The sequence below is a fragment of the Homo sapiens genome, chromosome 6 (genome assembly GCF_000001405.40).
Source record: "Homo sapiens chromosome 6, GRCh38.p14 Primary Assembly".
NCBI lineage: Eukaryota > Metazoa > Chordata > Mammalia > Primates > Hominidae > Homo > Homo sapiens.
The window spans coordinates 10,734,064-10,761,469 of record NC_000006.12 but is presented as its reverse complement, the minus strand read 5'-3'; the positions used below and the strand labels follow the sequence as shown (position 1 = coordinate 10,761,469).

Genomic DNA, 27,406 nt, shown 5'->3' with positions numbered 1-27,406 from the left:
AAGATGAGCCTAGAACGTCTTGTAGTGCCAGACAATAAGGAAGTTCTACAAACACACAAACCCTTTGGCTATGCCAGAGGGACACAGAGGTCAACTGAGTTTCCAATGGCCAAAGCTGCAACAATTTGAGCAAGAAAATTAAGTATTGCCCGGCGCGGTGGCTGATGCCTGTAATCCCAGCACTTTGGGAGGCCAAGGTGGGCAGATCATGAGGTCAGGAGATCGAGACCATCCTGGCTAACATGGTGAAACCCTGTCTGTACTAAAAATACAAAAAAATTAGCCGGGCATGGTGGCAGGCACCTGTAGTCCCAGCTCCTCAGGAGGCTGAGGCAGGAGAATGGCGTGAACCCATGAGGCGGAGCTTGCAGTGAGCCGAGACCATGCCACTGCACTCCAGCCTGGGTGACAGAGCAAGACTCCGTCTCAAAAAAAAAAAAAAAAAAATAAGTATTACAACCCAAAGAAAAAAGAAATATCCATGAGTCCATACTAAGATGAATGCATGAATGAATGCATGAATGATCAGGTGCGGCAGTGACTCACGCTTGTAATCCCAGCACTTTGAGAGGCCGAGGTGGGTGGATCACCTGAGGTCAGGAGGTTGAGACCAGCCTGGCCAACATGGTGAAACACCGTCTCTGCTAAAAATACAAAATTAGCCGGGTGTGGTGGCACACGCCTATAGTTCCAGCTACTCGGGAGGCTGAGACAGAAGAATCACTTGAACCCAGAAGGAGGAGGCTGCAGTGAACCTAGATCATGACACAGCACTCCAGCCTGGGTGAGAAGTCCCAACCTGAGGTCGGGAGTTCGAGACCAGCCTCACCAACATGGAGAAGCCCCGTCTCTACTAAAAATACAAAATTAGCTGGGTGTGGTGGCACATGCCTGTAATCCCAGCTACTCGGGAGGCTGAGGCAGGAGAATCACTTGAACCTGGCAGCCAGAGGTTGTGGTGAGCCAAGATCACGCCATTGCACTCCAGCCTGGGTGACTAAGCGAGACTCCATCTCAAAAAAAAAAAAAAAGAATAAAAATGTGAAGTGCTTTCCAAAGACACAAAATCTTGTAATGGCCCAATGGGTTCACTTTGCCCTTTGCCTAGACAGAGCTGAGTTATCAAGACAGGGAATTGCAATAGAGAAAGAGCACACGCAGAGCCAGCTGTGCAGGAGACTGGAGTTTTATTGGTACTCAAATCAGTCTCCCAGAGCATTCAAGGATTGAAGTGTTTAAGGGTTACTTGGTGTGCCAGGGGCAGCCAGGTGACTCAGGAGTGCTGACTGGTCCGGTGGGAGATTAAGTCATAGGGAGTGCAAGCTGTTGTCTTGCACTGAGTCAGTTCCTGGATGGGGGCCACAAGATCAGATGAGCCAGTTTATCAATTTGGGCGGTGCCAGGTGATCCATCAAGTGCAGGGTCTGTAAGAGAAAGTGCTCCTAACCGAAATTAGCCGGGAAGCCTCTCAGGTTTTAAGTAAAGAAAACCTGTCTTTGACTACAAAGCCACGTTTCATGTTTCTTTCTTCTTTCTTTAACTCTTACAGGCATGACTATGGTCAGTGAGCCAATTCTAGTCCATTGCCTGTTTTTGTGCAGAGAGCAAGCTAAGAATAGATTTGCATTTTGAAATGGTTGAAAAAAATCAAAATAAGACTATTTTGTGATATGTAGAAATCATATGAAATCCAGATTTCAGGGCCCATACATAGTTTTATTGGAACAGTCACACTCGTTTATTGATTGGCTGTGGCTGCTTTCATTCTACAAAGGCAGAGGTGAACAGCTGGGACACAGATGGCCTGAGAAGCCTAAAATATTCACTATCTGGCCCTTTACAGAACAAGTTTGCAGACTTCCAGCTTAATGTGTCAAAGATTTTTACAAAGTCCAATTACACAAAGCCACCACTAGTGGGAGGATAAATTGGTGCATCCTCTTCTGAAGGCAATCACAATTTTAAATGCTGAGATGCTCTGACTCAGCATTTAGGAATGTAACCTACAGATTCCTTTGCACATGTTCACGGGGATTTCCATGAGGATATTTCTTGGTACACCATCCTTTGTAATATCAAAGGCCTCAGGGGATCTGCCCACCTCAGCCTCCCAAAGTGTTGGGATTACAAGCATGAGCCACTGCTCCCGGCTATCAAAGGCATTAAACAAGACATATTTCTATCAGTAGGGGAATAGTAAACTAAATAGTAATCATCCGTACAACTTAAAAGCCATTAAAAAGAATTAGATCTTGGCCTGGTGCGGTGGCTCATGCCTGTAATTCCAGCACTTTGGGAGGCAAGACAGGTGGATCACCTGAGGTCAGTTCAAGACCAGCCTGGCCAACATGGTGAAACCCCATCTCTACTAAAAATACAAAAAATTAGCTGGGTGTGGTGGTGCACACCTGAAATCCCAGCTACTCAGGAGGGTAAGGCAGGAGAATCGCTTGAACCTGGGAGGTGGAGGTTGCAATGAGCTGAGATCGCACCATTGCACCCCAGCTTGGGCAACAAGAGCCATACTCCATCTCAAAAAAAAAAAAAAAAAAAAAAAAAAGAATTAGATCTCTAAGGAAAGGGTTGAACCCAGTTATGCTACATAGTTTCATGCCTTTGAGGCACTGTATATATTGCTCGCTCTGAGACATTTGCCCCGTCCTTACCTATGAATTTCTCAGACAACTCACAAAAGGAGTTCATGTCAACTGATTCATGCATCAACTGACAAGACTCAGCTTAACTGTTGGTTCCTTTGTGAAGCCTACCTTGACTCCCTCAACAGAAATGCCCACTCCCCTCCTTGTGCCCCCACAGTAATATGGATCTACCTCCATCATACACTTATTTCTATACTGCCTTTGTTTAGATGTCCACCTCCTCCACCAGACTCCAGAAGGGCAAGCACCATGGCTTGTTCTTTGCACTGCTAGGACCCAGCACAACCCTTAGGCAGTAAATACTCAGGGATCTTTGCAGAGAAGCAGGGATGAGGGCACTTGGCAAGGGCTATGAAGATCTCCTGCCTCTCATCTGTGGGCAGCCTTAGAATTTTCCAGGCTGATTGCTGGGGATCAAATAGTCACATGGGGATCTACTTGGCACCTAAACTAATTCCCACATTCAGGGAACCTTGTCATTCATGAGGAGCCAGGTCCTCCTCTAGGACTGAAGGTGGCAAAAATGTGTGCCCTTTGGAAACACTCCATGACACATGAAAAAATGGCCAACGTTGAGACTCAAAATCTTAGCTATGGAAGCCTGGGAGGATGATAGCTTTGGATGATCTGTGGCCTTCTGATGCCTCTACCACTGCAACACAAGAGCCCTTAATTGTCCAGAGTCCTATAAAAAAGGATGGAAAACTAGGACCACCATCCAGGGGCTTATGCAAATACATAAAGTGTCTGAATTATACTCTAAACTCAACCAGTATCAGTTAGGGTAAATCAGTAGCAAATATCTTTTTTTTTTTTTTTGAGACAGAGTCTCACCCTGTCGCCCAGGTTGGAGTGCAGTGGCGTGATCTCGGCTCGCTGCAACCACAGCCTCCTGGGTTCAAGCAATTCTCCTGCCTCAGCCTCCTGAATAGCTGGGATTACAGGCATGAGCCACCACACCCAGCTAATTTTTGAATTTTTAGTAGAGACAGGGTTTCACCATGTTGGCCAGGCTGGTCTCAAACTCCTGACCTCAGGTGATCCACCCATCTCGGCCTCCCAAAGTGTTGGCACTACAGGCGTGAGCCACCGCGCCCAGCTCCTTACCTTTTTAAAGAGGGAATGAAAACTAAAACAAAGGGCACCAGATTGAGTTAATTCTTCATGTTGAAACATGAATAAAGTGAACTAAAAACGTACCAGTATCCAGTAAATGTGTCCAATGTAGAGCCCAAACTAGGTGATTCAAGCTCTAGATGGGTCTTCTAGTTTCACAATTATATATGAACTAATTAACAAAAAAAACCACTTTTTTTCTTCTTCTTTTTTTGCTACACAGTCCTAAATCTTAGAAATCCTCAGTGGCCATGCTCATTACCCCAGCACTTTGGGAGGCCAAGGAGAGAGAATCGCATGAGACCAGGAGTTTGATAGCAGCCTGAGCAACAGAGCAAGACCCCATCTCTACAAAAAAATAAAATAAATTAGCGAGGTGGTATGCACCAGTAGTACCAGCTATTCAGGAGGCTGAAGTGGGATGACTGAACCCAAGAGTTTGAGGCTACAGTGAGATATGATTGTACCACTGCCCTCCAGCCTAGGTGACAGAGAAAGACCCTGTCTCTTAAAAAACAAACAAAAAAATCCTCAGAGATCATTTTTGAAACAAGCTTCAATGCAATGTACAATCAAATAACTTTCCTTGGTCCTTAAATTACTCAAAATAGGTAATTTCTAAATATCAACAAAATACTTTCAAGTTTCTATATCTAGCAACATCTCATTCTATGAACTAGACCAGCTCTGGCAATGAAGACACCATAGGAAATATTATTTATAGTAAACTTTATTTTCATTGATATTTCACTTAACATAATTTCAAAGTCAGTCTGTGGTCTAAGATGAGCAAAAGAAAAGATATTCTAAATCTCTCAAGAGATTTTTTTTCACACTGTTCCTCTGAGCAGGGAATGGGGTTTCAGGGTTCTCAATGTCAACACCTAACATTTTACCCTTGAGATTTACCTATAGATACAGAAAGAGATAAAATCAATATACAAGAATCGATCTCTATGATGGTCTCAATAAGCTCATGTTACATGCTCACCACCTCTGTAGGGTTATAATGGTAACAACTGATTTTCCACCCCTCCGCCAAATTTGGTGTCTTTTTTTTTTTAGGTAAAATGTCAGATGCAAAAATGCTGCACTTATTTCTCTTAATACATTGAAAATAGTGGAAGATGCAGATTTTTAATCCTTCATGAGTCCAAGCTGGAACATGACTTCTGCTAATCAGATGTCATCAACATACGAACTCCAACTTTGGCGGCCATCAGCAAACTGTTTAAAACAAGTAAGATAGAAAACATCAGGTAAAGGATAGAACAGGCAACTATGTTTTTAAGGAACTAAACTCTGCAGGTTCCTCACAACTGTGTGGGGGAGGAGGTACTAAGGCAAGAGTGGTCAGAGGTAAAATTTCCATCCCTGGGGGAACCAGAGAAAAAGCAAGCCAAGGGACAGTTTCACTGAGGTCTTAAAATAGCACACATGAGCTAGATCCTAATCCAACTGCCAGTAATTTGAAGAGATGAAGAAATGGAGGCAAGAGAAAGCAAGGCCTCCCCACCATCACAGATCTGATTTATGGTAGACTCCAGCCTCTCAGTTTACTGTTCTAGACCTTGCTCCATACTGACTCTTTTGCTTCAGGTATAAAATATTATACTGGCAGCATCACGACTATGATCAGAGTAGAGTATGTAATCTTTCTTGAAAACAGGATTTTAAAAATTCCCCTGCCTTCAGGATGTCTTTATCATACTTAACAAGTGAACTTTTTTTTTTTTTTGAGACAGACTCTCACTCATTGTTGCCCAGGCTGCAGTGCAGCAGCACGATTTCAACTTACTGCAACCTCCGCCTCCCCAGTTCAAGCAAGTCTCCTGCCTCGACCTCCCGAGTAGCTGGGATTACAGGCGTGCACCACCGCACCCACCTAATTTTTGTATTTTTCATAGAGAGGAGTTTCACCATGTTGGCCAGGCTGGTCTCAAACTCCTGACCTCAAGTGATATGCCCGCCATGGCCTCCCACTGTGCTTGGATTACAGGTGTGAGCCACCGTGCCTGGCCTACAACTACATTTTTTAAAAACCACAATTTGGTTTAGGTATTATAATCAAAATTAGAAAACAGGATTCAATCAAAATTTCCTTTTAGCAAAATTTTCTACAAAAGACACCTACACACCTAAGAAATATGGGACCCCCACACATCCTCCGCAAGTCACACAAAAGGCTGCAGTCATAGCTTTGCAATAAAACTTCTGCCACCATATAGGAAGGAGCTAGGACCAGAGAACAAAGCCATCTCCACAGTGAATGGATATACTCATGTCATTTGACATTAAATCAACTATTGTTTTTGAAGCATCTCCTATTAGTGTATAAGTCAAACGTCAGTTGATGCATAGCATCAGATACTCTGAAACAAGTAAGGTTTTGAATGCATAAAGTATTCTGGGCAATAAACTGAACTCTACATGGTAAAGAAGAGTAATAGAATGAAAGTACCTGGCACCTGCAATTAAACCTACAGGCATGAATTTTCCATAGTAGTAGGATCTCATTCCCATAACACCAACAAAAGTAACAGATGTAGCGGCTGAAAAAGATACAAAGAAGGGTCAAAACTCATTAGTCTTCTACGCAGGGGAATCAGAAGTAGACCAAGCCCCACCAATCTCTCAAGGCTCACGCCTCATCCTATGCTTATTCCTCCTTCCCCAAGTAGGGGAGATTACTAGCTGCCCACATCCTATGGGTCCAAATACCAATACTGGCCAAATAGGGCCCTTCACAGCCTGGGCCCTACCTGCCCTTCCAGCCTCATCTCTTACCACTTGTCTTCTGCAAAACCCACACTTTAGCCATCAATGTGTTAGTTTTCTCCAAAATGCTGTTGTTTCTCATGCCCTGCAGATGCTATCGCCCTGCAGACGCTATTTCCTCTACCCTGCATGCAATTCCCACTGGGTATCTGTCAAAGCACCTACTACATGTCAAGCGCTGTGCTAGGAGCTGGAGAATACAAAAGTAATCGTAACTGTCTTTGCCCTTTTACAATGCTTCAGGTCTGATGGGACAAGACTTTAAACAATCACACAAAGAAAAACAAGGTACAATGTGTGCTTCAGGTATAATTGATGCTACACAAAAAAGCTCAACAGGGGGATCAACCTATTCAGGGAGATCATGCTAGGCTTTTAGCCAAGGAAGTGAAGACTGACTGAGATCTGAAATTACAGCAGGCGTTAATAAGCTGAAGGATGGGAATGCCCTTTCCAGGCAGAGGGGACAGTATATGCAGAGGCCCTGTGGTGACAGGGAGCATGGCACATTCACCCTAAAAGGGCAGCGTGGCACAGAAGTCAAGATGCAGTTTGTGAGTAAGAGGCGCCAGACCACATAGAGCCTTGAAGGCCATACTAAGGATTGGGTTTTCATCATAAGAGCAATGAGAAGCTATTAAAGGATACTAAGCAGAGGGATGCATAAAAAGAGTTGCATTATTATTATTATTTTTTGAGACAGAGTCTCACTCTGCAACACACGCTGGAGTGCAGTGGCATGATCTCAGCTCACTACAACCTCTACCTCCCAGGTTCAAGCAATGCTGAAGCCTTTTTTAATTTTAGTGGAGACCGGGTTTCACCATGTTGCCCAGGGTGGTCTCCAACTCCTGAGCTCGGCAATCCGCCTGCCTTGGCCTCCCAAAGTGCTAGGACTACAGGCAGGAGCCACCGCAACCGGCCCAGAGTTGCATTTTGAAAGCGTAATTCTAGCTATACTATAGAGAACAAACTTCAGGGAAACTAGAGGGTACATGGGGATACCAGCTAAGGAACGTCCTTGGGAATGCAGGTAAGAAAGAGGGGATAACTGGGACTAGGACGATGGCTGTGCAGATGAAAAAGAGGACAACTCAGGATAAGGGCTAGAGGTAGTGTCGACAAGACCTGCTGATGAATTAGTCAGAAAGGGGGTGGTAGAAAGGAAAGAGAGCAATCAAGAACCGAATGGATGGAGAACAGAAGACAGGGGGAGTGTGTGGCCATGAGGTTAGGTCCGGGCAGATTCCTGGAGACATCTGAAGGAAAGTGGACAGATGAATACATGAGAGTCCAGCCTGGAGGAGAGAGAAATTTGTGTCATTTGTGTATCGGTGGAAATTAAAGGCATAGGCTTCAATGAAACTGTCAAGTGAGTAGACAAGAAGAGCCTGAAGAACTTCAATATCTAGTGGCCAAAAAGGAAAATAGGTTGCCAAAAGAGAATGAGAGGATAAAAAGGGAAACCAGGAGAATGGAAAATGATTGGTCAACCGTGCTGAGAACTGCTAAATGGCCAAGTAAAATGAGGACTGAAAAATGTACATTGGATTTTGTACAAACACAGGTCACTGGCAGCCTCAGGGAGAGCTATTCCACAAACACAGGGACAGAAACAGAGACTGAAATGGGCTGATCATGTGTGATGGGAGAGGAGGCATAAATGATCTTTATTTTTTGAAACGGAGTTTCGCTCTTGTTGCCCAGGCTGGAGTGCAGTGGCGTCATCTCGGCTCACCGCGACCTCCACTTCCCGGGTTCAAGCGATTCTCCTGCCTCAACCTCCTGAGTGGCTGGGATTACAGGTGACAGCCACCAAGCCCGGCTAATTTTGTATTTTTAGTAGAGATGGGGCTTTCTCCAAGTTGGTCAGACTGGTCTCCAACTCCCGACCTCAGGTGAGCCGCCTGCCTCGGTCTCCCAAAGTGCTGGGATTATACGAGTGAGCCACCGCGCCCAGCTGCATAAATGATCTTTAAGAAGTTTGTGGTCTACCGCCATACCACCCTGAATGTGCTAGATCTTGTCTGATCCCAGAAGCAAAGCAGGGTCGGTCCGGTCCTGCATGGTACTTGGATGGGAGACTACCACCCCACCTTCGGGGAAACACCAGGTGCTGTAGGCTTTTGGCCTCCCACTCCCTCCCTCTTTCCCTCTTGGCTGGGCGTGCTGCCTCATGGCTGTAATCCCAGCACTTCGGGAGTCCAAGGTGGGCAGATCACCTGAGGTCAGGCGTTCCAAACCAGCCCAGACAACATGGCAAAAACCCTGCACCTGCTAAAAATGCAAACGTTAGCCTGACATGGTGGGAGACACCTGTAATCCCAACTACCTAGAAGGCTGAGGCAGGAGAACCACTTGAATCCAAGAGGCGGAGGTTGCAGTGAGCCAAGACCGCGCCACTGCACTCTAGCCTGGGCAACACAGTGAGACTCCGTCTCAAAAAAAAAAAAAAAAAAAAAAGGTAGTTTATGAAGGGGAAGGAGACAAGCACATCTGAATATCAATGCGGGGATCCACCTAAAAGGAGGAATACAAATACAAGACAGGATCCTGGCCAGTGTAAAGGTCTGGAGACGGTCAGGGAGAAGACACCCAAAGCCCAGAGGAAGACACTGGTGTTGGAAAGGAGGGAAACAGGACGAGGGGAGGCTTGGAGATTAAAGGCTCCAGGAGTCCCCACCTGATGGCTGCTGTTTTTTCTCTACAATAGGTGTGAGGTCATTTGCTGAGTGGAGTAGGATCAGAGAAAGGGAAAATGCAGGCTCAAGTCATTCTGGAGCATGAGGGAGGGAGCTGTTAGGCAGAGCTGGGACCTGGACACACCTCCTTCCCCAGCACACCCCATTAGCCATCACGGACCTCCCTTCCCCACCCCAGCTGATATGTACAGATCACACGGCTTCTCCCTCCCACATGGCACTCATTCTCACACGGGGTTTGTAGAGACCGCAAGGAACCCACACTCATAGCAGTGTCTGACACATGGGTGGAGCTCCACAGAAATGTACTGAAAACCACTCTGATGAGGACTCTTATGTCCTCCACACCACTCACTGTCCTCACTGTCCGTGCTGCTCACAGGGTACCTTTCCAGTCCTGCTTCTATGCTCATGTCTTACTTCCCCAGTGAAGTCAGTTGAAAGCTCCTTGAAAGCATGGTCTACGTCTTATATATTTAGTTAGCTGACTGCTAAAGAGGTGATTTTCAAATGTGAAAAACGTAACGCAGCTGCAAACCTAACCCAGATACGTGATATTTTAGTGATACTGAGGCCAATGGTCTTCAGCGGAAAACCTCAACGGTTGACACATATTTGTCTTATACAAGTTTAATGCTGACTTTACTGGGTAAATATGGGTAATACAAGTTTGATACTAATTCTACTGGGTAAACACTGAAAATAAGGCCCACAGAGGATGGATGACTTTCTGAGAGTCACACAATTCACAAGGTATGGAAATCTTTCCATATTATCTACATAAACAATAAACAGGAACCAGGACAATTCCCACCACCCTTCTCCTATTTTAAAACTTTGAGGACTTGGACTTGGAGAAGCAGTGAAACTGTCGTAAATTAAGTGGGAAGAACTCGCTCCATCCCACCAAACCAGGGTCTTTTGGAAAAGAATATTCCAGATACATGATTGCCCTAAGGAGACGCTGAAGCAGACATACCTAGGAAACCCCAAACGTTCCTTGGATCCTGATACAGCTGGTAAGCACCCAGGCCGGCTAGACTGCCGAAGAGCAGCCCTGCAGCCAGGGACGGCACGCTGCCTAGAAGGAAGCAAACGCAGCTTGCATTGTAATGTCAGGCACTTATTTCACTAACGGAATCCACCAGACCTCCTGCCCTACAAAGGACAGCACAAAGAACTCTCAACACAGCTCACAGCCAAGGTGGACTCAAGCAGGAAGGCGTTAAGGAGAGTGTGCTATCTTCTCAGAGAAGTCAGGGTCTTCCCACCCCATTTTTCTCTCCTCTAATAGGCAGGGCACTTCCATCTAAGGAAAGGAAAGAAGGCCATCTTCCCTCCTTAGACAGAACTATGACTAGGCCTTCTTTTGTAATGCCTAACCTTGTTTTTACTAACCCTGTTTTTAGACTCTCCCTTTCCTTTAATCACCTAGCCTTGTTTCCACCTGAATTGACTCTTCCTTAGCTAAGAGAGCCAGACAGACTCCATCTTGGCTCTTTCACTGGCAGCCCCGTCCTCAAGGACTTAACTTGTGCAAGCTGACTCCCAGCACATCCAAGAATGCAATTAACTGATAAGATACTGTGGCGAGCTATATCCGCAGTTCCCAGGAATTCGTCCGATTGATAATGCCCAAAGCCCCGCGTCCATCACCTTGTAATAGTCTTAAAGCCCCTGCACCTGGAACTGTTTACTTTCCTGTAACCATTTATCCTTTTAACTTTTTTGCCTACTTTACTTCAGTAAAATTGTTTTAACTAGACCCCCCCCCCACCCCATTCTAAACCAAAGTATAAAAGAAAATCTAGCCCCTTCTTCAAGGCCGAGAGAACTTTGAGTGTTAGCCGTCTTTTAGGCCCCAGCTAAATAAACAGACTCTTAATTCGTCTCAAAGTGTGGCGTTTTCTCTAACTCGCTCAAGTACAACACTTTCTAATCAGGCCTCATCAACCATGAAGGGCTGGAATTGTGTACAGGCAGGACCTCCAGCAAATCACAAAAGCAGAAGGAAATAGGGCCAGGCAGTTAAAAAAAAAATAGAAGATCAGGAGAATAAGAAGTCTGGTGCAGGGATTGGGGTGGGAATGCAGGCAAGGACTAGGGGGCAAAAACAAGCACAGCCACTGACACACCCCTGCCTGGCCTAATGAGGAAACTTCAAAATACCAGTCTGTGTAGGCCAGAGGTTGACTCCTACTTAAGCCCAGAGATGGCACTTGGGGGTCATGGCTGATGAATGGCAGTCAATGATAATAACAAACTACAACCACCCCTGCCTACCTTTAGATAAAGAGGCAAAAATAAGTAATTCCACAAGAGGCCTGGCTCAGCTTCACCAGATAAGCAAAAGGCAAGGGCAGGAGCTGCAAGACTGACAAGGAAGCCTGCACTCCAGCTTGGGGACCTACAGCAAAGCTGAGTCAAACGAGATTGCTTCTCAGGGACACAGGCACTCACATTTCACTGGAACAACGTGAAGATGTTAAGAGGCTAAGTAACAACAAAACCCTACCTGTTTTTACATAGCCAACGATCCCACCAGAAACAACCAGTGCTGTGTAGCCAAAGCCAAACCAATGCAAAGGCACTCTGAAAACACAAGAGAAGTCAGTGAGAAGTCAGTGCTAACCTGGATTTAAAAACAAACCATATTGTCATAGGATGGGGCTAAAAGGTAATCATTCCCCACAGGTCCTATGTGCCCACAGGTACTATCACTGAAAATAAGCACCACAGAGGTTGGATGACTTTCTGAGAGTCACACAACTAAGCAAAGCTAGAGCTGGGACTCAAACCCAAGTTTCTGGCCCACAGGTCCAGTGATCCTCCCATCCCGCACGCCATCCCAGGCAGTCTACTCTTAGGGTTCTTTTCAGCTGAGGAAAGGAACTCTGGTTTCCAGAAGCTCCTGGCTACTCTCTAACCATTTACTGTCTACTCACAATGGGAAGAGGGGCTTCTCCATTCTTCTCTTCTCAGTCCAGAAAGGAGACTACCCCAGGCCTGCATCTGGGGAAAACAAGCCGGATCAGCAGTGGTTAAAAGCACAGCTCCCCAGCAGTCAGAAAGAAGTGTGTCCAACCTGCAGGCTATGCAACCTAAGTCTCAGTATCCTTCACTGTACCATGAGGATAACACTGGTACCAATTTCCTGGGGGTGTTGTGAGCATTCAATGGATGTCACATGTAAAGGTGCTTAGCACCTAGTAAACCCTGAACAGATGCCGATCATTTCACATAGGTCCACAGGAAACTCAGCAAGATCCACTGACCAGCTCTATAATCAGGGAATGTGTTAGTCATTTCATTAAGCACTCACATTATCACTAAATCGGAAAGCAAATACTCCCGTGCCCTTAATCCAACTACTTTAATGTCTCTTTTGAGGGGTGGTAGGGATGTTGCTTTTCTTCACTGATGCAACAGCCAATTTCAATACTCAATTTTTTTTTTTAGAAACTTCTGCATCCAACTCACAGTTCTCGTTAGGAGGGCAGAAGGGGAGGGTAAAATACACGGAAACTCAAGTCAGAATCACATGTGACATTGCACCCTTGGAAAAACAGCTCCTATTTTCTTACAGAAAAGTATTCTGTATGCAGTGAACCTAACAAGATGGAAAGCAATGCATACGCCGTTTATTCTGTTTAAAGAATTAGGCCAGGCAAAGTGGCTCACGCCTGTAATCCCAGTACTTTGGGAGGCCCAGGCAGGCGGATTACCTGAGGTTAGGAGTTCGAGAACAGCTTGGTCAACATGGTGAAACCCATATTCTATTAAAACACACACACACACACACAAATCGGGCATGATGGCATGCACCTGTAATCCCAGCTACTTGGGAGGCTGAGGTGGGAGGATGGCTTGAGCCCAGGAGGCAGAGGCTGCAATAAGACATATTCAGGCTACTGCACTCCAGGCTGGGCGACACAGCGAGAACCCCTCCCCACCCCCCAAAAAAAGAAAGAATTAATTTCCCATAAAACGGGGAAGGGCAGCGGGCTTGGGATCTTGCCCACAGTTCTTAACTCGAGGCGGCACTGAGTAAGGGAGGCTTTTAAAGAGCTGGAGCAACAAAACCACCAGGAAACGAGGCAACACTATGCTACAAGGGTAAGCCTTTGCCTCAGGAGCTCAGGTGCTCCGAGCATCCACAGCCTCTTTTAAGACAAGCAGAAAATACCCAAGGAGAAAAGCACCGACCACACGGCATAAAGGCCCGCTGAATCGGGGGGACGAAAAGCAGACGGCCGTGAAACTCCTAAATAATCCCTAAAAGTTAAAAGTGGCAGAAAATAAAAACAATACTCTCCAAAGACCTGCACCGACCTGCCGAAGGCCCGCGGAGTCCACTACGGAGCGCAAGCCGCGGGACACAGCAGCCAGGTCTCTCCGGAAACGCGATTGCGTGCGCGCTGCGCCCCGGGGCCGCGGCAGGGCGGGGAGAAAGGCGGGACGTCGTGGCGCGTGCGCAGTGTCCTTGGAGAGAGGTGAGCGGAGAATGGGGACAGTGGGGGCGGGGCTTGAGCCGCGGATTACCAGCACGCGCCCTGCATCCCGGGGGCGGGGAGTGAGGCGGGGCATCGCGGCTAGCGCCGTTGGCGGGGAACCGGGCGGGGAATCTCTGTGCTTCCTCAGTCCCCAGGCCCAGCACCTGCAGGGCCGACCAGCTCCAGTCCCAGGTCCAATCCTGAGTGGCCAAAAGCCGGAAACCCGGAGTTGGAATTGGATCTTGCACAAGCTGGACCACGTAAGCTGGGCCAGGCCAGAGGTGGAGGCCACCGCTGCGGGAGGAGGGCATCTGATGATTTTGAAGGACCCCATTAATAGAGGGTATAAACCAGGTGCGGGCCATCAGGGAGGATTGTCACTCTGGCCCGATCTTGTTTGTTTACACCAGGAAGGGCCTGCCTTCCACCTGCAAGAAAATATGGCAGCTGCAGAATAATGTGGCGCAATGCCAAATATCCGTTTGTTTTAGGGAGTGAGGCTACTTGAGAAGCATCTTAAATGGGGAGAGAGAGCAAGTTAAATCTGATTTCCACGCAGCTCTGTGGATTCCGAATGTCCACAGTATGATGTTATCTCCATTCCCACTTCCGAGCCGCTCCTCTTCTGTGTTTCCTGCACCACCATTCGCTCAGTTGCTCTACACTAAAATTTGCTGTCATCGTTGACTTCTCCCTCTCCTTCATCCCCTACAAGTATCAACATAGACAACTCCGATCAATATAATCATCAGTGAATAAAGCAAATTGCAGCGCATATTCTTAAAGACAAACTTTCCACTTGCAGCAGCACCTACCTTCCAGATAGCTAAATTGAAGCCCGTGTTTATCATAGCTGCTTCTAACCAGCCAGAGCTGATAATAACTAAGAACTTGCAGGAATTGCAGTATGCCAGACCTTCAATTTAATTGAAGACTTTCCTGAACAATTAATGAGACTTGTCTTAACCAGCAGGGAATGGCTTTAGGGACTCATTCTTCCCTATGCAGGTGCAAGCCTCAAACCTTAATTAGGATCATCCACCATGATCCTCGAGCCCTTCCCCACCTTATACTTGAAGAGGCTGAACCTCAGAGAATTAAATTACCTACAGTCCTGGTCACTGGTAGAGCTATTATTTAAAGTAAGGTCTAATGTCAAAGCCTGCGTCCTTAATTCTACCATATGCTGCTTCTTGCAGTGTCGTTCCTCAACCAGAACACATAGCTCTTCTGTGTAGGTAAAGTCCATCAAAACATGTCATAAAATAAATTAAAGAAATTGGTTTCTGCTCTATTTCAATTAGTACCAGAGTAAAACAATCAATGATTTGTGTTTGGGAATATTTCTAGTTGGCATTAACGTTGTTAGGAGATAGCTTAGCTCTTCACTGGGGGCCCACTGAATTATCGGAACCCTGGAACACAAATGTGTCAAAAGGGTGTAATCAAAATTATGTCAGGGAATGTTAAGTTTCTAGTCTTTGGTCACTGAGGCCTATCAGTAGGTTTGGGTGTTTTGTTTTGTTTTTCCCACAAAGAGGCTTTGAGTAAGAATTGTGTCTGGTAGACAAACACAGGTACACACACAGGTGTGTACTCACACAGCAAGAGCAGTAGAGATCATCTCCCACAACACAAGAGCTCATGAAGAAAGGGAATTGAGCTTCAATGTAAGCATTAGTTTAGCATTTTTGGAGCCTGAATGTGTTGACTTTACAAATTAAGAAGTCCCTGAACAAAAACGTCAAAAACAAATCCCAAGTTGCAGTCTGCCCAGGTAATTCATGTCTATCAAGTGTCTACAATACCAATTTCTACATCTTTGGGAGTATTTTATAGGTTTGTTTGAAGAGCAAGGTCAATAACTCTTTCCCCAAGAAATAAATGAAATCATAAAAAAAAAACCGCCTATTTTCTTAACCTAACCTATCTGCCATCTACTTCTGGATCATATTCATTGGAGCCATAAAAATATTAGCAGAAGCATATGCAGTTCTTATTATCTGCCACTGTTGGAAGCGCTTTACATATGTTAACTAACTTACACTTCATACCAACTCTGTGCAGTGACGACTATGATTATCTCCTGCTTTACACATGGAAGAAATTGAGGCACAGACTACAAGGTCACACAGCAAATGGCAGAGCTGTCCTAACTCTGCATTTGTTTCTTGCAGTGAAGAGTCTTTTTTCTGTCTCTTAGTCTGTTCTCAACACAGTGACCAGAGCACTTGGGTTAGAAGTCTGACTGTGCCATTTCTCTCCCCAAAACCCTCTGGTGGCACCCCTTTTCTCAGGCAGTGCTTTGCAAAGCCCCACACATCCTCCTCCCTGACATCAGCATCTTCTCTTTCCCCCTCACTTGTGTTTCCTTCTTGCCCTCAGCTGCTTCATCTGCCTGGAACGCCTCCCCAGACAATCTCCTGGTTCACGCCCTCTCCTCCTTTCTGTCTTTACGCAAATGTCACTTCTCAGAGAGACCTTCCCTAATCACCTGATTTAAAACTTCAACTCATCTGCATTTCCCCCGACAGCATCTTTCCTTCCATGACAATTCCCTGCTAACCTGCTCTGTAACTGGCTTAATCATCGTAGAGCCTACCTCCCCCTTTTTTGCATGTTTGTTTCATGGGAGTGATGATATTTATGCAGCATTTAGCACAGTGCCTGGCCCATAACCAGTACTCAGTAAACATGTGTTGAATGGACAAGTAGATGTGGAGTGAGAAATGAGAGGGGTGGTCGGCAGACAGGAGAACAAAGGCCACATGTACAGTTTGCCCTGGCTGTACCCTGGCTCTGGTTCTTCCTGCCTTGGCCTCAGCCAGATACACCTGTGTCCTTCTCATGTACTTACCCCCACGTCCTCTGTTGAAGCTTAGGACATCCAGAGTTGCATTTGTTTCTTGCAGTGAAGAGTCTTTTAAAATCTGAAATAGGCTGTGAGCGGTGGCTCACGCCTGTAATCCCATCACTTTGGGAGGCTGAGGCACATGGATCACCTGAGGTCAGGAGTTCGAGACTAGCCTGGCCAACATGGTGAAACGCTGTCTCTACTAACAATACAAAAAAAAAAAAATAGCCGGGTGTGATGGTGCACGCCTGTAATCCCAGCTACTCAGGAGGCTGAGATGGAAGAATCGCTTGAACCTAGGAGGCAGAGGTTGTAGTAAGCCGAGATCACTCTACTGCACTCCAGCCTGGGTGACAGAGGGAGACTCCATTTCCAAAAAAAAGAAAAGAAAAATGAAAAATTGAGTTGACATCATGGGCCCTGTGTCATTCAAAAACTCAACATTTCACTAATCAGTCAAGCTGCCCATGACTGCCCCAGGCCATTGCATTCAATATGTTAATTTATTTACCAAAGCTGTGTCTTTCAGAAGGGTTGTGTTTTTCCTTTTAGCCCTCAGAATCTAGGATAGCACCTGGCACACATGGTGAGCACTCACTTCATGGCTGTCGGATAAACAATGGAGCAAGGAAGGTGGAGATGGATGCTTACACATGGGGAATTGTATCAGGAAGGAGTGTATGTGTGATTAAAACCTGTTCTACATAAATAGAAAAGTTGATCATTCAACACATGGACGGCTAAGACTATATGCAGACTATCCATTCTCAGGAAGAAAAGGGAAGCAATCTACCTGACTTCCCCAAATGGATTCCGTATTTTGATATGAATTGTTATCATGTGGGAAATGCGATGGCCTCCAGGTATACTACCTCAGAGATCAGTGAGCAGAAAAGCTCACAGATCAAATTAAAATGCTTGAATCTCTTAGTTTATTTAAATCAATTTAAAGAGACAGTGAAAAGCAAGAGGAAAGAGATGGGATAAGTAAACGCTGTCAAGAGACGGTGCAAATCTGGTGGAAGATGCCTGCTACCTAAAGCCTACCTCATACAATGTTCAGGGGCCACCATCCCCCACCTGCCCCAACCTCCACCCCTCTCTGTGATATTGACTTTCCTGTGGATCGTGGTGCTGAAGACGACAGGTTTGAGCAAGGAGACTCAAAGAGGCAAGGTGCCCCACGCCAATGACACAAACTTGCTCTGTCCGAGATGCAGGTACAAGCAAGCCTAGCAAAGAGCTGAGCTTTGCCTGTTGGCCTGTGGAGCAACCATGGGTTTTACTGTGTTTCTTGGACAGAGGACACTTGGGGACAGAAGTGAATAGCATGACTATTTCATGCTTATGTATATTTTATGCACTGTATTTAGTGCCTCTTGGACATTTAATGTATCAAATATTTCATGCTCAGGTGTCTCATGTATACTTGGTAGCTAGGAATGTTAGGTATCCTGGACTTTCTATTCCTTTCTGTGTCTAACACATGTTCTACTTACTACTTAACACATCTAATAAAATCTGCCTATGTTTTAAAAACTAAGATTTATCTATACTTAACTTGTACTAAAAGCTTTCCCCTGTATTTCACAAACATATTAATCTTCCTTAAAAGTATTGAATACTCCCAAAAACAAATGTATATTCCAACTTTTTATTTTCAAATGCCACATTAAAAAAACACCCTCTGGCTGGGCGCAGTGGCTCATGTCTGTAATCCCAATATTTTGGGAGGCCAAGGCAAGCAGATCACTTGAGGTCAGGAGTTCGAAACCAGCCTGACCAACATGATGAAACCCAGTCTCTACAAAAAAAATAAGATTAGCTGGGTGTGATGGTGGATGCCTGTAGTCACAGCTACTCAGGAGGCTGAGGCAGGAGGATTGCTTGAGCCCAGGAGTTCAAAGCTGCAGGAAGCTATAATCATGCCACTGCAAAAGGTGACAGAGACCCCGTGTCTTAAAATAGACTTAAGCCAGTTTAAGCCTTTCAGTTAAATGTCCCATGAAGAATTCTGTTTTGAGACTGAGTGTTGCTCTGTCACCCACGCTGGAGTGCAGTGGCGCGATCTTAGCTCACGGAAACCTCTGCCTCCCGGGTTGAGCGATTCTCCTGCTTCAGCCTCCCAAGTAGCTGGGATTACAGGCACATGCCACCATGCCCTACTAATTTTCTTATTTTTACTAGAGACAGGTGTTTCAGCATATTGCCCAGGCTGTTCTCAAACTCCTGACTTCGTGATCCACCTACCTCAGCCTTCCAAAGTACTGGGATTACAGGCGTTAAGCCACAGCTCCCGGCCCCCACCAAGAATTTTAAACAGCTGATACGAATGTGTCCAAATATTGGTTCCTTCCGGTGGGTTCTTGGTCTCGCTGACTTCAGGAATGAAGCCACGGACCCTCACGGTGTTTACAGTTCTTAAAAATAGTGTGTCCACAGTCTGTTCCTTCAGCTGTTTGGATGTGTCTGGAATTTCTTCTTTCCGCTGGGTTCAGTGACCTGCACAGGCCTCAGGAGTGAAGCCACAGACCTTCGCCGTTGACTGTTAACAGCTCTTAAAGGTGGTGCATCCAGAGCTGTTCATTCCTCCCCTGTGGGTTCATGGTCCCGCTGGCTTCAGAAGTGAAGCTGCAGACTTTCGCAGTCAGTGTTATATAGCTCATAAAGGCGGAACGTCCACAGTTGTTCATTCCTCCCTGTGGGCTCATGGTCTTGCTGGCTTCAGGAGTGAAGCTGCAGACCTTTGCAATGAGTGTTACAGCTCTTAAAGATGGCACCTCCAGAGTTGTTCGTTCCTCCCAATGGGCTTGTCATTTACGCTAGTGTCAGGAGTGAACCTGCAGACTTTTACAGTGAGTGTTACAGCTCATAAAGGCAGTGAGGACCCAAACAGTAACCAGCAGTAACAGCAGTAAGATTTATTGCAAAGTGCAAAGGAAGAAAACTGCAACAGCATGGAACAGGACTGATAGGAGAGTTGCCACTGCTGGCTCGGGTGGCCTGCTTTTGGCCCCTTATTTGGCCCCACCCACATCCTGCTGATTGGTCCATTTTACAGAGTGCTGATTGGTCCGTTTTACAGAGTGCTGATTGGTGCGTTTACAATCCTTTAGGTAGACACAAAAGTTCTCCAAGTCCCCACCTGATTAGCTAGACACAGAGTGCTGACTGGTGCGTTTGCAAACCTTTAGCTAAACACAGAGTGCTGATTAGTGTGTTTATAATCCTTTAGCTAGACAGAAAAGTTCTCCAAGTCCCCACCCGACCCAGAAGCCCAGTCGGCTTCACCTCTCAGGAATATCTGCATTATACTCAACTTTGCTGTAATATGCATTCCCTAGGAACTGAGTAGAATTAAATAACATGGAAGCTTCATCAAGTCGCTTTTTTTTTTTTTTTTTTTGAGACAGAGTCTCACTCTTGCCCAGGCTGGAGTGCAGTGGCATCATCTCGGCCCACTGCAACCTCTGCCTCCCGGGTTCAAGTAATTCTCCTGCCTCAGCCTCCCAAGCAGCTGGGATTACAGGCGCCAGCAACCACACCCGGCTCATTTTTTTATCTTTAGTAGACACCGGGTTTCACCGTGTTGACCAGGCTGGTCTTGAATTCCTGACCTCAGGTGATCCACCTCCCTCTGCCCCCCAAAGTGCTGGGATTATAGGTGTGAGCCACCGCACCCAGCCTCAAGTAACTTCATTATCATAAGGTGATCCTACATTGATTCTAGGGAGAATGGCATAAGAGGAATTACATTTGTATCCATTTTTATTCCATCTAAAAATCATATTCAGAAACTTGCTTTTCTGGGATGATAGAGTAGACGTACTTTCCTCTCTCACTAAGTGCAACTAAAAACCCTGGACATCATATATAGATGACACATAAGAAGGCTCTGAAAGGTGGAGAAAAGTCTGACCAGTCAGGGATCTTGGGACTCAGGAATGCCATGGTAAGTTCCCTAAAATTGTTTCCCTTATATATCCCAGACTTAAATGTGAAAACCAACCGGGCATGGTGGCTCATGCCTGTAATCCCAGCTACTTGGGAGGCTGAGGCAGGAGAATGGCTTGAACTCGGGAGGCAGAGGTTGCAGTGAGCCGATATCATGCCACTGCACTCCAGCCTGGGCGACACAGCGAGACAAAGCCTAAAAAAAAAAAAAAAAAAAGGTGAAAACCTAGCAGAATGGCCAGCCAGGCGTGGTGGCTCCTGCCTGTAATCCCAGCACTTTGGGAGGCTGAGGCGGGTGGATCACCTGAGGTCAGGAGTTCAAGACCACCCTGGCCAACATGGTGAAACCCCGTCTCTACTAAAAATACAAAAAATAGCTGGGCGTGGTGGTGGGAGCCTGTAATCCCAGCTATTCAGGAGGCTGAGGCAAGAGAATCACTTGAACCCGGGAGGCAGAGGTTGCAGTAAGCTGAGATCACACCACTGCACAACAAAAGCTAAACTCAGTCTCAAAGGAAAAAAAAAAAGAAAAAAAGAAAACCTAGCAGAATGGACAGGCATGGACCAAATAATAATAATAAAAAAGTGCATGAACAAAAATCCTGCTCTTTCTAGCCAAAGGACCACACAAGGAGCAGCCTAGCAAAACTTTCAGGCAGTGACCACTCTGCTGCAGCCAAACCACACATCAAACTGAAGCCCCACTCTGACCCATGCTCACAGGACAGTAAGTAGGGAGCTGGTTGTTTCATTCCCAGTGGCTGGTATCAAGTCCCCTCCCCAATGTGGAGCCAATAGAGACCACAAGGAAAGCCACAGCTCCCAGACCACCTGTCACTAATAAGCCCCCACTCTTTGGGTGTCACTGGAGGTCAAGCAGAGAACCTCATGTGTCACCAAAAGTCACCTACTTCCATCTGGCAGTAGCATCCTTCTTCCCTTCCCATAGCAGTGTCAGAGAAAATCAGTTAAAACAAAAGGTTTAAATAAGAGCCAGAGGCCGGAGCTCACGCCTGTAATCCCAGCACTTTGGGACGGCGAGGCAGGCGGATCACTTGAGGTCGGTTCGAAACGAGCCTGGTAAACATGGTGAAACCTCGTCTTTACTAAAAATACAAAAATTAGGCGTGGTGGTGTGCGCCTGTAATTCCGGTTACTCGGGAGGCTGAGGCACGAAAATCGCTTGAACCCAGGAGGCGGAGGTTGCAGTGTGCCGAGATCACACCGCTGCACTCCAAACTGGGAGACAAATAGAGACTCTTTTTATTTTTATTTTTATTTTTTATTTTTGAGACGGAGTCTCGCTCTGTCGCCCAGGCTGGAGTGCAGTGGCACGATCTTGGCTCACTGCAAGCTCCGCCTCCCAGGTTCACGCCATTCTCTCGCCTCAGCCTCTGGAGTAGCTGGGACTACAGGCGCCCGCCACCACGCCTGGCTAATTTTTTGTATTTTTAGTAGAGACGGGGTTTCACTGTGTTAGCCAGGATGGTCTTGATCTCCTGATCTCGTGATCTGCTTGCCTCAGCCTCACAAAGTGCTGGGATTACAGGCGTGAGCCACCGCGCCCGGCCGAGACTCTGTCTTAAAAAATAAATAAGAGCCAGTGTCTCATAACATAACACAAATGTGTCCAGAATTCAATAGAAATCACTCAATATATAGTCATGTGCCACATTAACTATGTTTTTGGTCAATGAGAGACCACGTTTATGATGCGAATACTGTAAGATTATAAAACCATATTTTTACTATCCATTTTCTGTGCTTAATTATGTTTAGATATTCAAATACTTACCATTGGCCGGGCGCGGTGGCTCATGCCTGTAATCCCAGCACTTTGGGAGGCTGAGGTGGGCAGATTACCTGAGGTCAGGAGCTCAAGACCAGCCTGGCCAACATGGTGAAACCCCGTCTCTACTAAATATACAAAAATTAGCCAGGCATGGTGGCAGGTGCCTGTAATCTCAGCTACTTGGGAGGCTGAGGCACGAGAATCACTTGAACCTGAGAGATGGAGGTTGCAGTGAGCCGAGATCATGCCATTGCACCCCAGTCTGGGCAACAGAGCAAGACTCTGACTCAAAACAAACAAACAAACAAACAAAAAAAACACCCAGTAGATTTGATCAATGTATTCAGCAAAGACTTACTAAATTCCCTACTGTGTTCTAAGTATATATGGTAGTAACAAAAGTGTTGTTTTTCCTGCCTTTATACAACATTTATTCTAGAGGCAGATATTCAATAAACACACAAAAACATGTATGTTTGCAAATTGTGACGAGTGCTATTAAGAAAAAGAACAGGATGTTATAAGAGCTAAAAGAGAAATGTAAGTGTAGTCAGGGACCATTGAGTAGTTTTAAGTCTAGAAGTCTATACTTGAGCTATGCCTCTGCCTGCTGGGTAAAGAATGACTTATAGGGCCATAGCATGAAAAGAAGTATTCCTTGCAGAAGATTATTTAAATAACCAGGTAAAAGATAGAAAGGGTTGGACTTGGACATTAGCAATATTATGGGAGAGAATGGATTATGGCTATTGATAGAAAGCTATTCGTTTTCAGTGTTGATCTTGTTTCTTGCTGCTTTAAAGATCTCTGTTAGTTCCAATCGGTTTTTAGTTGCTTCTCGTGGATTTTCCAGATAGATAATTATCAGCTGTTAAAAATGTTTAAGTTATTTTCTACTATTAATTTATACCTCTCAAATTATCTTTTTTATTGCTTTGTCTAATTTCTCTAGAACTATGTTGAATGTTGCCAGTGATAGTAAACATCCTATTATTTCTAACTTTAACATAAAGCCATAGAATCAGATAAAAAGTAGCTCATAAAAACCGAAAGCAAGTAATATGCTTGAGTGAGGTGACAGAAGCAGCAATATTAACGTCAGGAATTCATTTTGTTCAGACTGATATCTAGTTAGAAAATACATGAAAAAGTACCCATTCATAATAACAAAACTATAAAATACTATAAAATACAAAAAATTCAAAATACCACAAAACTATAAAATAATCCACGATCTTACTAAAAGTGTAAAGTACTATGTGAATAAAGCTCTAAAATATTGTTTTAGGACATTTTTTAAAAAACCTGAACTTGCCGGGTGTGGTGGCTCATGCCTGTAATCCATTTGCCAGCTGAGGTGGGTAGATCACCTGAGGTCAGGAGTTCAAGACCAGCCTGGCCAACATGGCGAAATGCTGCCTCTACTAAAAACACAAAAATTAGTCAGGTGTGGTGGCAGGCTCCTGTAATCCCAGCTATTTGGGAGGCTGAGGCAGGACAATTGCTTGAACCTGGGAGGCAGAAGTTGCAGTGAGCTGAGATCATGCCACTGCACTCTAGCCTGGGCGACAGAGCGAGACACTGTCTCAAAAAAAAAAAAAAAAGTCTGGGTGCAGTGGCTCACACCTGTAATCGCAGCACTTTGGGAGGCTGAGGCAGGTGGATCACCTGAGGTTGGGAGTTTAAGACCAGCCTGGCCAACATGGTGAAACCCCGTCTCTACTAAAAATACAAAAGTTAGCTAGCTGTGGTGGTGCACGCCTGTAATCCCAGCTACTTGGGAGGCTGAGGGAGGAGAATCACTTGAACCCAGGAGGCGGAGGTTGCAGTGAGCCAAGATCACGCCACTGCACTCCAGCCTGGGCAACAGACAAAGACTCTGTCTCAAAACAAACAAACAAACAAACAAAACACCTGAATTAAATGAAGGAACATACAATGTTCCTGGATAAGAGGAAATATTTTAAAGCTTTCAATCTCCTTCATTATCTATCAATGTGTCATAATAAAATCCCAAGTAAAATTTAAAAATTAAAAGGCTAATTCTAACAAAAAAGGAAAAAAAATAAAAAAACAAACAAGCAGAAAGGCTAATTCCAGATTTAGCTTGTAAAGTTACTGTGTCAGGAAAAATCTGAAAAGCAACGACAGACTTGTCCGACTAAATATCAGCATATGGTACAAAGCTACAGTAATTAATACAATTTGGCACTGGGACAGAAAATAAAGAAATCCCTGGAAGAGGCTAGAAAACCCAGAATCAATTCCAAATACAGAAATTCAGCACATGGTAAAAGTGGCATTCCAAAGCAATGAGGAATTAACATTTTTCAATAAATAATATTAAGGTAATGGCTATATTTTGGAGAAAATAATCAGATCCCTAATTTGCACCATCACACACAAAAATAAATTCTAAAGTAGCATTAAAAATAGAAGTGCTCTCACCACACAAGAAATGGTAATTTGGTAATATGACAGCTTAGCTTGATTGAATCTTTCTATAATACATACAGAGATTAAAACATCACATCACATTGTACCCCATAATATGGACAATTATTTGTTAATTAATAAATTTTAAAAATAGAAACCTAAAAGATAAAACTATAAAAGCATTGGAAGAAAATAAGATAATTTCAGGCCAGGTATGGTGGCTCACGCCTGTAATCCCATCGCTTTGGGAGGCCGAGGCGAGTGGACCACTTGAAGTCAAGAGTTCAAGACAAGCCTGGCCAACATGGTGAAACCCCCGTCTTTATTAAAAATACAAAATTAACCAGGCATGGTGGCATGCGCCTGTAATCCCAGCTACTTGGGAGGCTGAAGCAGGCGAATCCCTTGAACCCAGGACACAGAGGTTGCAGTGAGCTGAGATCGTGCCACTGCACTCCAGCCTGGGCAATGGAGCAAGACTCCAACTCAGAAAAAATTGAATAAATAAACTATAAACTAAGTTCTTCCCACAGTTAGTTCAGCCCACACCAGAATGAACAAGGACAGCTTGGACGGTAGAAGCAAGATGGCGTTGGTTAGGTCAGATCTCTTTCACTGTCTCAGTTATAATTTTGCAATGCTGGCCAGGCGGGGTGGCTCGCACCTGTAATCTCAGCACTTTGGGAGGCCGAGGGGGGCGGATCACAAGGTCAGGAGATCGAGACCATCCTGGCTAACACGGTGAAACCCCATCTCTACTAAAAATACAAAAAATTAGCCAGGCGTGGTGACACGTGCCTGTAGTCCCAGCTACACAGGAGGCTGAGGCAGAAGAATTGCTTGAACCTGGGAGGCGGAGGTTGCAGTGAGCCGAGATGGCACCACTGCACTCCTGCCTGGGCATCAGAGCAAGACTCCGTCTCAAAAAAAAAAAAAAATTGCAATAGTGGTTTCAATCTGAAAGCCATAAAGAAAATATAATAAATTTGATTTCATAAATGTTTACTTTCTGTACAACGGCAAAAAAAACACATAAACAAAATCGAGACACAAATAACAAGTGAGAGGAAAATATTTTCAATACATATGATAGGGAACACATTTTTATACTACATAGAAAGTCTCAGACTATCCAATGTTTTCAATTAAAAAACAAAAAAACCAAAAACATGGACAAAAGGGATGAAAGACTGCTCACAGAAAAAATATAACTGGTCAATAAATGTATGAAAGATGTAATAATTCATAACTAAATCACTGAAACCATTAGATAACATTTTTTGGGTAGATCGGGGGTGGCATGACTATGGTCAGTGAGCTAATTCTAGTCCATTGCCTGTTTTTGTGCAGACAGCAAGCTAAGAACGGTTTTGCATTTTTAAATGGTTGAAGAAAATAAAAATAAGATTACTATTTTGTAATATGTAGAAATCATATGAAATCCAGATTTCAAGGCCCATAAGTACAGTTTTATTGGAACAGTCACCCTTGCTTATTTACTTATTGGCTATGGCTGCTTTCATCCTACAAAGGCAGAGATGAGCAGCTGGGACAAAGATGGCCTGCGAAGCCTAAAATATTCATATCTGGCCCTTTACAGAAAAAGTTTGCAGACTCCTAGCTTCATGTGTCAAAGATTTTTAAAAAGTCCAATTCCACAAAGTTAGCCACCACTGGAAGTAGGGTAAATTGGTGCATTTTCTTCTGAGGGCAATCACAACTTGAACTGCTGAGATGCTCTGACACAGCGTTTAGGAATGTAACCTACAGATTCCTTTGCACATGTTCACGGGGATTTCCAAAGATATTCCTTGGTAAACCATCTGTTTTTTTTTTTTTTTTTTGACACGGAGTCTCACTCTGTCTCCCAGGCTGGAGTGCAGTGCGATCTCGGCTCACTGCAATCTCCGCCTCCAGGGTTCAAACGATTCTCCTGCCTCAGCCTCCCAAGTAGCTGGGACTACAGGGGCGTGCAACCACACCCGGCTAATTCTTTGTATTTTTAGTAGAGATGGGATTTCACCATATTAGCCAGGATGATCTTGATCTCTTAACCTTGTGATCTGCCCTCCTCGGCCTCCCAAAGTGCTGGGATTACAGGCATGAGACACTGTGCCCGGCCGGTTTTCTTTTTGTTTGTTTGTTTGTTTTGAGATGGAGTCTTGCTCTGTCAGCAGGCTGGAGTGCAGTGGCGCAATCTCCTCTCACTGCAACCTCCGCCTCCTGGGTTCAAGTGATTCTCCTGCCTCAGCCTCCTGAGTAGCTGGGACTACAGGTGCACGCCACCACACCCAGCTGATTTTTGTATTTTTAGTAGAGATGGGGTTTCACCATATTGGCCAGGACGGTCTCGATCTCTTGACCTCGTGATCCACCCACCTCGGCCTCCCAAAGTGCTGGGATTACAGGCATGAGCCACCGCGCCCGGCTATCAGAGGTATTAAATAAGACATATTTCTATGAGTAGGAGAATGGTAAACTAAGTAGTAAACATCTATACAACTTAAAAGCCATTAAAAAGAATTAGATCTCTAAGGAAAGGGTTGAACCCAGTTGTAATACCTAGTTTCATGCCTTTGAGGCACAGTATATATTGCTCCCTCTACCTGAGACATTTGCCC

General features: G+C 45.1%; 1 protein-coding gene, 1 long non-coding RNA gene and 1 pseudogene across 8 annotated transcripts, besides 5 other annotated features; 2 read left to right on the top strand and 1 right to left on the bottom strand.

The window, feature by feature from the left end:
* Positions 1,696–13,711, bottom strand: TMEM14B (transmembrane protein 14B). Of its 6 annotated transcripts, none has more exons than NM_001286488.2 (6): positions 13,589–13,665; positions 12,202–12,268; positions 11,772–11,848; positions 10,236–10,337; positions 6,238–6,328; positions 1,696–2,531 (listed from the first exon to the last, which is right to left on the bottom strand). In NM_001286488.2, the coding sequence occupies exons 2-6, from the start codon at positions 12,222–12,224 to the stop codon at positions 2,369–2,371; spliced, it is 456 nt and encodes a 151-aa protein (NP_001273417.1). In that variant the 5' UTR covers positions 12,225–12,268; positions 13,589–13,665; the 3' UTR covers positions 1,696–2,368. The 6 variants fall into 6 exon arrangements, 5 of the variants coding, with proteins under 5 accessions (NP_001273417.1, NP_001273418.1, NP_112231.3 ...); NM_030969.5 differs by lacking the exon at positions 1,696–2,531 and adding an exon at positions 4,489–5,003; NM_001286489.2 differs by lacking the exon at positions 10,236–10,337.
* RNA5SP203 (RNA, 5S ribosomal pseudogene 203) lies at positions 8,544–8,679 on the top strand (annotated as a pseudogene).
* Positions 13,636–13,695: a silencer, noted in NCBI's record as "silent region_16906". NCBI's record gives its function as "represses an Ori minimal core promoter by ATAC-STARR-seq in GM12878 lymphoblastoid cells {active_cell/tissue: GM12878}" and the evidence as "EXISTENCE:reporter gene assay evidence [ECO:0000049][PMID:35858748]".
* Positions 13,636–13,935: a biological region, named in NCBI's record as "ReSE screen-validated silencer GRCh37_chr6:10747832-10748052".
* Positions 13,651–13,871: a silencer, noted in NCBI's record as "fragment chr6:10747832-10748052 (GRCh37/hg19 assembly coordinates)". NCBI's record gives its function as "represses an EF-1alpha promoter that drives an FKBP-Casp9 reporter gene in an ReSE screen in HepG2 liver carcinoma cells {active_cell/tissue: HepG2}" and the evidence as "EXISTENCE:reporter gene assay evidence [ECO:0000049][PMID:32094911]".
* Positions 13,706–13,935: a silencer, noted in NCBI's record as "silent region_16905". NCBI's record gives its function as "represses an Ori minimal core promoter by ATAC-STARR-seq in GM12878 lymphoblastoid cells {active_cell/tissue: GM12878}" and the evidence as "EXISTENCE:reporter gene assay evidence [ECO:0000049][PMID:35858748]".
* On the top strand, positions 13,886–18,146 carry TMEM14B-DT (TMEM14B divergent transcript). 2 transcript variants are annotated; one of them, NR_187231.1, is made up of 2 exons: positions 13,886–14,009; positions 17,156–18,146. It is a non-coding gene; the product is annotated as a TMEM14B divergent transcript (long non-coding RNA). The 2 variants fall into 2 exon arrangements; NR_187230.1 differs by lacking the exon at positions 17,156–18,146 and adding an exon at positions 14,241–15,032.
* Positions 14,056–14,105: an enhancer, noted in NCBI's record as "active region_23972". NCBI's record gives its function as "activates an Ori minimal core promoter by ATAC-STARR-seq in GM12878 lymphoblastoid cells {active_cell/tissue: GM12878}" and the evidence as "EXISTENCE:reporter gene assay evidence [ECO:0000049][PMID:35858748]".
* Positions 18,147–27,406: the final 9,260 nt, after the last annotated feature.